This window comes from Homo sapiens, chromosome 1 (genome assembly GCF_000001405.40).
Source record: "Homo sapiens chromosome 1, GRCh38.p14 Primary Assembly".
Lineage (NCBI taxonomy): Eukaryota > Metazoa > Chordata > Mammalia > Primates > Hominidae > Homo > Homo sapiens.
In genome coordinates this window covers 240,794,712-240,808,025 of record NC_000001.11, presented here as the reverse complement: position 1 = coordinate 240,808,025, position 13,314 = coordinate 240,794,712, and the positions used below count along the sequence as shown (strand labels likewise).

The 13,314-nt window shown below is 36.8% G+C and overlaps 1 protein-coding gene across 22 annotated transcripts in view; it reads left to right on the top strand.

Annotated features, from left to right (window-relative positions):
* RGS7 (regulator of G protein signaling 7) overlaps positions 1-13,314 on the top strand; it is a 582,489-nt gene that overhangs the window by 549,205 nt on the left and 19,970 nt on the right. For 10 of the 22 annotated variants that reach the window (NM_001374811.1, NM_001374813.1, NM_001374812.1 and 7 more), the window contains 2 exons: positions 1,700-1,886; positions 5,033-5,122. In NM_001374811.1, the coding sequence (NP_001361740.1) occupies positions 1,700-1,886; positions 5,033-5,122 (277 nt within the window). Of the gene's footprint in view, positions 1-1,699; positions 1,887-5,032; positions 5,123-6,517; positions 6,572-7,304; positions 7,386-13,314 lie in introns of all 22 variants that reach the window. The other 12 variants (NM_001374806.1, NM_001374815.1, NM_001374808.1 and 9 more) reach the window with 3 other exon arrangements.

The following is a 13,314-nucleotide window of genomic DNA, read 5'->3' as shown; positions in this document are numbered from 1 at the left end:
TTTGCTCTTGTTGCCCAGGCTAGAGTGCAATGGCATGATCTCTGCTCACTGCAACCTCCACTTTCCGGGTTCAAGCGATTCTCGTGCCTCAGCCTCCCGAGTAGCTGGGATTATGGGCATTCGCCACCACACCCAGCTAATTTTTGTATTATTAGTAGAGATGGGGTTTCACCATGTTGGCCAGGCTGATCTCAAACTCCCGACCTCAGGTTATCTGCCCGCCTCAGCCTCCCAAAGTGCTGGGATTACAGACGTGAGCCACCATGCCCAGCCTCGCATAGTATTCCTATTAGAGTGCACAGTGTCTAAATCTGTGTTTTAAGAGGGAAAGGTCTTGAGCCTTCCTTTCTAAAAGTCATGGTGGTAGTTTCCTGTTTGAGGCGTTGTCAAACTTAGATTATCCTCTGCTACATATATCTATAAAAAAACAAAATCTGGAAATGAAAACTCAAAAATCACTAGACTGAGTAGTAGTTGATATTCTAATTCTAGCTCATGCACTTCATTACTGATTTCTGATTATTTATTAATGGTCAAGTTAAAGCTTAGTAGTTACGAAGGTACTGCTGATCACCTGTGCCTCTCTTAAGACTCTGTAGCCTGAAGTTTGCTGTCTCTGTGGCCCTCTTTGCCTTTCTTTGACTTCGTCTACTATTAGAGCAGTAAGAGTGTTTATGGAGGATAACACAGTCCTAGCAGCTCCTTTTTCTAGTAGAGTGTTTGTTTCTATTAACAAATTATGATATACTCATTTATCTTTTAAACATTATTTCTAGAGATCTAACCAGCAAGCTCTAGCCTAGAGCAAAATATTGAAGAAATGCAACCGATTAATACAATGTGGCCCCTTCTCACTAGACTTTACCACTTGCTATTATCAACCAAAACACACTCCCAGGTTCTTTCAGTATACATATGGTATAAATAAGTCTATCTTCAGAAGTAAGTCAGTATATATTATTCCGTGGCTTCTGAATTGCAATGATGCCTCTACACATTTCAACTTTTCAAATAATTCCATGTGAAAGCTTGCTGCTTTGGTCATTCCATAACTCTCTCAATTAAATTACCTTAACATTAGTTAATTGTTTTTATTTTTCCAGCCAGAGCATTTTCTGATCTTATGTCCAGGCCTCTTTTAACTCCAGCAAAGCTTCTTTGTAATTCCCTTACCACCTAGAACAGAAAAGGCTCTCCATACTAGCCCCCATTGCTGAAATGGACAGAACATCCAAAGAACACAGTGTAATGCACAGCTTTATCTCCCAATTGGAGGCTCCATGTCCCACACCTTTAATTCCCTTCAAACTCCTCTTTGTTTTCAATCAACAGTCAGAAGTGCTACTTTCCTTAGGTAAAATCAGTGTTATACGGGGCTCTGACAGATCTGCTTTTAACAACAAACACTTAGAAGAGAGAGTTTTTCATGTTTCTTTATATTTTTATTAATATTTTTTATTTATATTTTTAAAATATTTTTATTAATATTTTTATATTTTTATTAATAATTATTTTTCATAATAATCTTCCAAAGAAGATTATCCTTTGAACACAGTCAGTACCACCCTGATACTGGAAGCCCTCAGAGAAAGTGAGCTGGCTGTGAGTCGTCATGATGAACTGCATGATCCGTAAATGTCACAAGAATTTTCAGATGATGGGCCATCAGAGTAAACACCCGATCTCACATTCTGCATAGATTCTGGCTGGCAGTGGAGGACCTGAAAAAGAGGCCTATTAAAGAAGTACCCTCAAGAGTTCAGGAAATATGGCAAGAGTTTCTGGCTCCCGGAGCCCCCAGTGCTATTAACTTGGATTCCAAGAGTTATGACAAAACCACACAGAACGTGAAGGAACCTGGACGATACACATTTGAAGATGCTCAGGTGGGTGTACGGTGAGCCTCACACCACAAACGTGCTTCCGAGAAGTTGAGCGTTAGATGTATTCATTTTATTTTCATTCTAAATGGCAGCTATTTCTAACATTTTCAATTTAGATAACTGTAAAATAACTCTAACTGATCTAGGAAGGAACAAAGACACATTAAACTGAATAGTTTTTTTAAAACCTGGGAATATTTTCTAAGTTTGAATATTTTTATATGAAGGGGCATATTTGAAATATTTTACAACTTTTACTTCATTTTCTACTCTGTTTGTCCCCCCAGTAAGTGAGCAAACACCATCTAATGATGACCCCACCTCAGTAAAAGATTTTTTAAAACATTTTTTTAAAAAGATTTAAAATCTTTAAGGCATCTTCAATGTAGACATTCTAAGACTCTGACATTCCTGAATTATTCATTATTATAAATTATTCAAACTGAATTAGCTTAAAGTTATGTCAAACTCAAACCAGTTTTATCTCTGGTGAAAAAAAAAATCAAACATTAGATTCTGACATTTCTTAAATTTTCAAGTTAATTTTTTAGCCTACAGAAAGAAAAAATAAGGAAAACTGATTCTAACTTCCTAAGGCAAATTTTCAGTCATCTTTTCTCAAACTGGATCTTAATTCCCTTTGTAGAAACAACTTGAATTTCTGCCTTCTCTCAAAAAATGTTGAAACTTAAGAAGAAAAATAAACTTGTAATGAGGGGATAGTGTTTCCTAATAATGTGGTATTTTATTTTATTTTATTTTATTTTTGGAAACAAGTTCTCTCTCTGTTACCTACAGTGGCATGATCATGGCTCGCTATAGCCTTGGCCTCCCAGGCTTAAGCAATCCTCCTACCTCAGCCTCCCAAGTAGCTGGGACCATAGGCATGCACCACCATGCCTGGCTAATTTTTTTTTATTTTTTTTTGTAGAGACAGGGTGGGTCTCCCTATGTTGCCCAGGCTGGTCTCCAACTCCTGGGCTCAAGCAATCCTCCCACCTTAGCCTCTCAGAGTGCTGGGATTACAGGCATAAGCCACTGCACCCACTCCCTAATGATGTGTTGAAGTTGGTTTTTAAATCAGAACGTGCATACTTCATAACTTCTTAAACTTCTTTTGGAGAAGAATATTAATTCTAAAAAGTACCTTTTAAAAAACACACATTACTAAAATAAAATATAGAAGATGAAGAATGAGATACACGAATATCCTTCCTTATTTCCACTCTCTATAGAAAATATATTTCTCCTTGGCTTTCATTTAAAGAAATCAGCAACTGTGTAGTAAACTAACATGAATTTTAACAGCTAACTGGATACCTATCCCATGTGGTTCAGCCATGGTCTCCAATGTAGAAATAATTACACTCTAGAGAGACACAGGACAGAGAGCAGGCCAGAAACTCTGGCCCTGCTGCTCACTTCTCTGCTGATTTTTCTTTCTTTCAGTCCAAGATAAAATGCCGAGCATCTTTCTAGAGCCAACAATGTGGAAAATGTTTGGAATGCCCTTCCTGAGGTTTAAAATAGAATTTTTTTTAGTTATCGGTGTCATTTAAAAATATTCTTGCCTAAGAGGATCCTCTTTTCTTACAGAAAAAAAAATTCTATAGAAAACAATACCACTTGGCCCTAGATTTCTTTTTCAGTTAAGCTCAGATATTTAATTCTAGTTTTTTTTGTGGTTTTTAAAAAAAATCTGATCGTAAGGTAAATTGCCTGGGTTCTGATTTCAGCTCTGCTCTGTGACCACTTCTCCACGCCTCAGTTTCTTCACCTGTAAAATGGACATAATGGTTACCAACCCCATAGGGGTTTTGTAAGGCTTATATTAACTAATACAGGAAAGCACTTAAAAGAGTACCTGCCATATACCCAAGTATATTTGAGCACTTACTATCCACACCCCATGCTTTGCTACACATTTATTATTCCTTTAATCATCACAACAATGCTATTTTATAGATGAGAAAATTAAGGATCAGAGAGATGAAAAAGTTGGCCTATATTTATCCCATTTGTAAGTGGTAGTTCTTGAGCAAGGTAGAATGTGAATCTCAAAATGCTTAACTCCAAAACCAGCCATTGCTCTACTTTTCAAACAAATTCCCATACAGTTCCAAACTTAACATCCTTTGAAGATCACCATTGGGCTAAGTCTTGAGATTTAATCCTGAATGTCTTTAAATGAATTTAAAGTAACTTCAAATTATTGCTGTTGTGTTTAAGACCAGAGAACTGGAGTCATTTCTTGAAACATCTATTTTCTTCAAGAAAAAAAAAAAGAAAGAAAAGAAAACTGGAACATTCAGAATGCTCTCCAATAGTTCCAAGCTCTACACCTAACTGATATTTCACTAGAGTTGGAAGATCAAGGCACATGTTAGCTCCCTGAGCTGCGGTAGACCAGAGTGGAACCTCCCTAGATTGGGTCTAGATTGAATTGAATGAGTACCTTTTTCCTTTTTTTTTTTTGACTTGTCTATCAAAATTCATCATCAAAACAGAATATTGCAAACTTCTTAGGGGCAAATGATCAACTATTTACCTAATCTGTCACTGGGTAAGTAATAAGAAAGAGCACACAAATTTGGAGATTTAGCAATTAAATATCACAAAATTTATTTTTGGACTTGTGCTCTGACCCAAAGTGGGTATGGAAGACAATTTTCCATGCAATTTGTACCAAAGAGATGATTTGATTCTTCTGGGTAGTTGGCACCCTCCCAGTAAATGTAGAGGCCAAAGGTATCCAGGATGATTACTCAGTCTGAGTCAACATTACCCACTTCAGGCCTGGAGTAGTTTTAAGAGACAGCAAATTTAGTTATATTCTCTAGTGATCTATATAAGTCAACAACTTGATTTGAGGTAATTTTATGACATTTTATTAATCAAATTCCATTTTTGTAATGACTGGATGTGATTTGCCTCCTCAGTAGCTCCTAAACCAATTTAAACAATGATCTATGAATGAGATAATGAATTTGAAGATCTAAATATCCTGTAAATAGAAGGTATTCTAATCAGCATTGTTATTACTATTTTTCGCTGCTACTAGATTTGTTCTTTAGCCATGTGTGACATCATGATATTTTACTTTTCCCAAGAAATCATAAAGAAGCACCTCAACCATTATTTCTTTTTAGGAGCACATTTACAAACTGATGAAAAGTGATTCATACCCACGTTTTATAAGATCCAGTGCCTATCAGGAGCTTCTACAGGCAAAGAAAAAGGTACTGGTTTTTTGTGAGTTGTTTTTTCTTGGCCTAGTTCTCAGTTATAATTATTTGGAGTAATTACCTCTGCTGAATCCAGGGTATTGGACTAATGGTAAGTGAACATACTCCAAGACCCTCCCCCAAACCTTTGCATTTTATAAGGGCCATTTAAGTTGTTTCTGTTTGTTTATTGCTTATTGTATTACTTTCTGTTTGTTTGTTTCTGCAGATGTTCATGCTTTGCAAAATTTATTAGAAGCTGTTTTCATGTTTCATGTTAGTCTTCTGTATGCCTAGTTTCATGGAATCAAAATTACAATAAAGAAAAGAAAGTAACAAAGTCATTAGGTCAAAAACTTGAAGAGAGGTTTCTTTGTTTAGTAAGCTAGAATGTATGTTTTGAACCACAGGCCTCATAACTGAAAGTAGACTCACCTTTTTCAATAATAGATGACAAAATGTCGGAATGTTTGCTTCCGAATATTTTTATTTGGCATTTATCCTGAATCACTTAATATCCCTGTGATGAATTTTATACACCTAGCATGGTAGCCAAGCACATTATGGGGGTATTGTAGTAGACCTCATTATTCAACAATGTTAATAATCAATGTCTCTCTGTTCATAACTCCTTATGTAATCAATATAACAGGGAAGAGAAAATCTGGACATAAACATCAACGTCATTCATTCTTTTTAATGTTAAAATAGTTCATAGCTTCTTGAAACTCTGAGTTTAAATTATAATTTTGTGTAGTTCATGATCGTCATGTAGGCTAATAAGATTTTTAAAAGTCCATTGCCTTTACAACTAGAAATGGATACTTTGTAGTAACACTATCCAGTACAGCAGTCACTAGCCACGTGGGACTGTTTAAATATTAGTTAATTAAAATTATATAACATTCTAGCCAAATTTCAAGTGCTCAGTAACCACAGCTAGGGGCTTCTGTATTGGACAGCATAGAATGAGATTTCCATCCTTTTGGAAAGTTCTATTAGACATTAATGCTCTATGGAATTAATGATGTTGTCAATAGGAATTTTTTCTCATAAAAGTTTTGAGGAAATTCTGAGGATATGCTGCTAGATTTTTAAATATTTAGGCTCTGCAAATGTCAGTATAAAGGCTTCACATATCCACTTTATTTTGGCTGAATTTGATTTTGCTTGAATCACACCATTTTGTTTGTACAAGGAAAGTTTTTGGTGTAAGCAGAGCCCATGTCCTGTGAGAAGAAGCCTCCCTTGGCGGCTCTCCAACCTCTATGGGCCTTCTGATTTAGAACATGGATTTGGTGTTGCATCATTTCATTATCCTGTCTTTTTCTGCTCTGTTTTCCTTGCTTTCTTTCTTTTTTTTAATCTTCCCTTATTTCCCTTCATCCTATCCTACCCCACATACGTAAGTCTGGAAACTCAATGGATCGCAGAACATCTTTTGAAAAATTTGCACAGAATGTGGTAAGTTTAATTTTTTGAGGAATTATGAATCATTAAGTCCAATGAAATTTTTCCAATTTCCCTATTTCTAGCCCTGTTACCCACCTTGCATTCTTGATATAACAGCAAAAGTGTTTCTTTTATTCAAATTCAGAACTTCATGTTTTCTGCTTATCTTTCTGTCCCATCCCTTTCCAAAGTAGAAAAAGATGTTATATATGAACAAGTTATCTGTACAGAATTAAAGTTTGGAAAGAAGTTTATATTACAACATATAAAAGGAAGGAATAATAATTATTCTTTATATTTTATTTTTATTCCTTGTATTCCTTTCTTTATTAAAGATAGTGCATGTATTTCTATGCTCTTTCCCTTAGCCCTTCCTGAGGCTTAAAATGTTAAGAACAATGAGGGTTCTATGCGTTTTACTTCTGCAGAGAGAAAATGATCTACTGAGCAGTTTAAAATTAAAGATTTTATATGAGTGGTGGTTGGTGACAAGATATGCCCCACCAGAGACCCACTAGCCTGCCTTTCTTATTCCTTATTTTTCAGGAAGGTGTTGAAAACTGTTGCATAAATCACCTGAGAAACCAGTAGTTTTCCTACCAGTGTTTTCTTAGTATCTTGCCATGTGTTTTGATGATATATATTTGTTTGTAAGATTCTTTTTTTTGTATTGTGCCAGTGCCTTTGGAACTTTCTGACATTGTGTAAGCTCAAACTAAAGCCTTCAACACATTTATTTTTATAGGGCAGAAACATCCCTATTTTCCCATGCCATAAAAACTGTACACCAACACTGAGGGCCAGCACTAACCTGTTATGAAAAGAGGTAGAAAAATCTTGGTTTATACTCAAGTTTGTCTGCATTGTCTGTTGAGTTGTGTGGTTTAGCTCCATGCTGCTGTGTGTGTGTGTGTTGTGGCTTTTGCTGTGATGGCCAGTTCAGTGGAGTTATGTGTGTTGAAATGTGAGCAAACTGGATTCAACAAAGATAATGGCTTTTGTTTTCAGTTTCCTTCAAGGATCCTTGTGGTGGGGAATGTTACTCATTTCTACTTGTGAATTACCATTGCAACGGTACACAGAGTATTTGAAAGAATTTGAACAGTAATATATACTGTGAACATTCAATGTGATTGCATGAATTAAAGGGATGGAGAATGATGGACTCCAGGAATTAATCACATTGTAAATAAATTTTATGAAATTTTGGCTGGCACTATTGGAACCTCTGTTCTTTAATACAGAATTTTCTGAAGCATGCCTCATAAGTCACCATGGGGCAATAAAGACAATGTCAAACAATTCTCCAAGATTTTGCTGGAGAAAGTGACTATCAGATAATGTGAGGTACTCTGTGTATTGTTTAAGAAGCATTTCAAGTTAATCCTTTTCAAACGTAATGCTGACAGAATATACTGTTCTTGAAATTACAATGGAAATTTCTGTGATATAATTTAAAATAGTGATGTAACCTGGGGAAGATGGAAAGGGGAAGTCAAATGGTTGTCCTTCTTCCAACATCATATCTAACCCACTTCTCAAACTCTTAAAATAGTACCATATGGTCACACACTGCAAACTTTAAGAAAGGGCCAACAGGAAACAAGGGGAAGGGAGGACTGATCATCCACACCTTCAATCAAAATTCACACAATTGCCACCTCTATTCTAAACCATGTGCTATGTCTTGGGACCATGTAGAAAGTATAGACTTGCAGCCATGTCCAACCCTTTGAATGCAAGGACATTTTTGCTTATCTGTGGTGGTAGATGTTATAAAAATTATGCACAGACCTTTTTTTTAAGATTATTCGTCATTAGTGTTAGTGTATTTTATGTGTGGCCCAAGATAATTCTTCTTGCAATGTGGCCTAGGGAAGCCAAAAGGTTGGATATCCATGGTAGAGCTTGATCTCAAAGGTACCCAATGGTATAGACAAAATGTTAGGATGTACAAGGGAAAGATAAACAATTTCTACTGGGTGTTAGGGTGAGGAGGGAGGGCCCATATGTAATCTGAGAAATCCCAGAAGTTACATTTAACTGAATTTGCAGGATTTCACTAGACCAAGAAGAGCAACCACCTTCTTAAAGAGAAGTGGAAAAAAAAAAAACAACTGGAATTACTGAAGGAAAAGAAGTTGAATACCATCCACACACACACACACACACACACACAAACATAGACACACACACACACACACACACACACAAACCATAATAATAACTTTCAGACACTGTTGCTTAGTGTTAATCCTTTTCCATCCAGGAAAATAAAATGCAATCTTTTTTATTTAATACCTTTATTTGGGTGTTATTCTGAAGAAATGGAGTAAGGAAATTAAAAGGTTCTCTGAATTTCCCCTTGGTTTAGTGTTCCGTATTTTATAACTTCATGGTCGGCAGCTGTATCAAGCATCTTAGATCTTTACATACTAAATTTTATGAGACACCTTTATAGGATCAATAAAATAATTTAATGGAAGATAAAGAATGAGTGATTTTATTATAATCAGATAGACTTACTGGAGTAAAGATGGAATTTATGTAAATATTTTAAAGGAATCCTCTACACAGGTTGCTCTGGTACATACAGGGAGGCTACAAGGTCAACAGTATCCAAGAAAGAAATGGAATAGGGGAAAATAGTAAACAAATATGTAGTCTAGGAAAATAATGGGGAAAAACTCACATTCATTGAATATCTGCCATGTACCAGGCTCTGCACTGGGCGCTTTATAATATTATCTAATTTAATCCATATGCTGGCCCTGTAAGGTAGATATTATTATAGCCATTATTTTACCCATTTTGTAGGTAAGAAATTTAAAGGGTCAAAGGAGGTGCATAATTTGCCCAGAGTCACATAGTTAGGGAAGGAGCTGGGACTGACTCCAAATGTATTTTGTTCCCCAGTGCTATTTCCACGGATCCACCCTGCTCTTTGACATTCTCCCAACTGACAAAAAATAAATAAACCTTGCCACCTGATGATACCCACCTCCCCAGTCTGAGTCCATTTCCAATGCGTGCCTATTTTTGTAAGTTGATTTACATGTTCCAGCCTAGGGTTTTTATAACCAAGGTTAGAAAAATGGCATTGTTGTTTTTGTTTCACCCCAGAGACAAAAATATTTTGCTAGCCAGCTTTTGCAGGGGAGTTTTTGTTAGTTACCCAGATTCATAAATACTTACTAGCACTTTAGAGAAAAATTATAATAAACAGCTGAGGATTGCATTGCACTTTCAATTTTCCAAAAAATATAGACTCCTTTTTGTGTGTTTTGTTGTTGTTTTGGTCATTGTTTGCATGCACAACAATCCTGGGAGGTAGTCAGGCAGGTATCACCTTTTTTCACAGACAAAAAAATGGGGAAATAGTGAGGTGAGGGCACCTTCACCAATATCTTCCAGCTGTTGAGCATTAGAGCTGGAACTCGAAGCAAGCTTTTTCTTTTACTTTAAATTCATTACTCTTCATAGATTATTCTTATTCTTTTCATTAATCCCAAAATGGGTAGGAGAAAAATAACTCACATTTGTGTAATGCCCGCATTGGGGTTTGTTGTCTCAAGAAAGCTCCTTTTCATGTCTTGTTTACTCTTTTATTTCTTTATTTTTCTTGCTATCAGAGAAGTCTCTTAAGGTTGGTCTTCCAAGGGTTACTATGTCCTCTCATACCTTTAAATGTTATTAAGTTGACTTTATTCTCTTTCAAAAAGGTTCATATGCTTTAAGAATTATGAAAATTATTTTCTTCATCACCATCATCAAATCTGACACCACTTTTTCAGCCATTAAAATATCATAGCATCTGCTGGGCATGGTGGCTCATGCCTGTAATCCCAGCACTTTGAGAGGCCGAGGCGGGTGGATCACCTGAGGTCAGGAGTTCAAGACCAGCCTGGCCAACATGGTGAAAGCCTGTCTCTACTAAAAATACAAAAATTAGCCGGGCGTGGTGGTGCACACCTGTAATCCCAGCTACTTGGGATACTGAGGCAGGAAAATTGCTTGAACTCAGGAGGCAGATGTTGCAGTGAGCAGAGATCATGCCATTGCACTCCAACCTGGGTGACAAAAGAGAAACTCTGTCTGAAAAAATAAGAAAAGATAACATGATAAGATAAGAAAAACCATAGCATCTGTCTGCTATGCAAACATTAAGGAGGGACAGATAGAAAACAAAGGAAAAACAGGGTAGGATGACTGATCAGCCACACCTTCAATCAAGATTCATAATCAAGTGCCAGCTGTGTGACTCACCTTCTGTCTTGTCTTTGTGTGAACAATATCAGTTTCCCGGAAAGTAGCTACAGTTCTTCACTGACTGAAGACTAATTGGTTGTGGAGGTCTGTCATTAATGTGTAACACACTGGTTTTGTCTTTGTGTGAAGTGGAAATTAAATCAGCCTGGCTCTGGGCTACAAAAGTAGAAAAGTAAAAATGAATATTAGAAAGTATTGATGTTGAACACCCAGGGAGTCACCTAATCTTATCTCTTTTTGAAAATATTTTCACTCTATCTTAATGAAGACAATTATCTGTAGAGACTTTAAAAGAATCAATAGAAAAAAGATGATGCCTCCTTGGCTATCCCGTTCTCTCTGTCCTGGTGTATTTGTGCTGGTGGATTGAGCTCCTAACTGTGCTCTGGGGACTGCAAGGAATGACCAGAAGTTGTGGAGACTCCGTGAGAGAAATTTAACAGGAGTGGGTTGGCCCTGAAATCAGTTGATCTTTAGGATCAAATCTGTTTGTTGTTATTGTTGTTGTTGTTGAGACACAATTTCACTCTGTCACCCAAGCTGCAGTGCAGTGGCACGATCTCGGCTCACTGCAACCTCTACCTCCATGGTTCAAACAATTCTCCTGCCTCAACCTCCTAAGTAGCTGGGACTACAGGCACCCGCCAACACTCCCGGCTAATTTTTTGTATTTTAGTAGAGATGGGGTTTCACCATGTTGGGCAGGCTGGTCTTGGACTCCTGACCTCAAGTGATCTGCCCACCTCAGCTTCCCAAACTACTGGGATTACAGGTGTGAGCCACTGTGCCCAGCCGAAATCTGTTTTTAACTCTGTAACTCAATTGTTTAAATGTTGATAGGAGCAAATGTAAATGTAAATCCTCTTATTTGAAATAGAAAACAAAGAAGATACAACACTTAGTTCCTTTAGAATGTTATTTTGATTAAATAAAATTAAATGATTTATCTAAGCCCACTGTGGAATTACTGGTTAATACAGCCTTATGCAGATTATATATAAGTGGTAACATGGTAAAAAGAGCCTGGGCCAAGGAATTTGATGTGTTTCTATTTAGGTTTGAAACCTAGTCCTATATATTCTAGCCATGTGAATTTTAAAAAATCATTTAAGGCCGGGTGCAGTGGCTCATGCCTGTAATCTCAGCACTTTGTGGGGCTGAGGCGGGAACGTGGCTCTAGGCCAAGAGTTCAAGAACCACCTGGGCAACATGGCAAGACCCCGTCTCTGCAAAAATAATAATAATTATAATAACAATAAAAGAAAAAATCATTTAAACTGCTGAACCTCAGTTTCTTCACCTCTAGATGACCCTCTCTACCCAGACACAGCTCCAATTAGCATTTTGCACAAATAAATATAAATACTTAAGAATTTGAATTATATTTAAATATTCTTTTGAAACATTCTTTATTCACTTAAAATGCATTGTAAATGTCTTCCAAATAATTGACTATTTTTCTACATGATTCTATTTATTAACCATGCAAAATTCTTTTGAATGGATATGCCCTGTAATTTTTCTGATCATCTATTAATGGACGTTTGGGTTGTTGCTTATTTATTATTCATTGCTTTTATAGGTCAAAGTACAATAAAATCAAAGTTATATATTGATTTTCTTTTCATAAAAAATTGAACTGCTTGGTTAAATGGAATGTAAATTTACAAGGGAAGAGGTATCCATTTATCTCTTTTTATCTCTTTTGTATCTTTATTTTTTCCTTCATGCAAGAGCATACACTAGAGGGAAAAATAACTTATTCTGGAAGGTGGGAATCAGATGTTGTATTCCTGATTTCCAAAACCAGTGTGTTACACATTAATGACAGACCTCCACCACCAATTAGTCTTCAGTCAGTGAAGAACTGTAGCTACTTTCCGGGAAACATATTGTTTTTTTTAAGACACTGTTGAAAACTTGAAGGATACTTTTTAGTCCCTGGTCAAATGATTTTTAACTTGGTTTGATTTTTGTTGGTGGTGGTGGGTTTTTTTGTTTATTTGTTTGTTTGAGACAGAGTTTTGCTCTTGTTGTCCAGGCTGGAGGGCAATGGTGTGATCTCGGCTCACTGCAACCTCCGCCTCCCAGGTTCAAGCGATTCTCCTGCCTCAGCCTCCAAATAACTGGGATTACAGGCATGTGCCACCAGGCCCAGCTAATTTTTTTGTATTTTTAGTAGAGACGGGGTTTCTCCATGGTGGTCAGGCTGGTCTCGAACTCCCGACCTCAGGTGATCCGCCTGCCTCGGCCTCCCAAAGTGCTGGGATTACAAGCATGAGCCACCACGCCCAGCCTTACCTGGATTTTATTAAATGTAAAATCTAGTGTGAGATTTCCCTCCATATTCTAATAACCTATAAAACGTATAAAACTATAATCTGGGAACTCCCCTCTGCATACAGTGTAAACCTGTGAATAATACAGGTGCCACGTCTGGGAATCACAGCCCCAGCCCAGCTATGGAGCCAGGGTAGGAGCAGTGC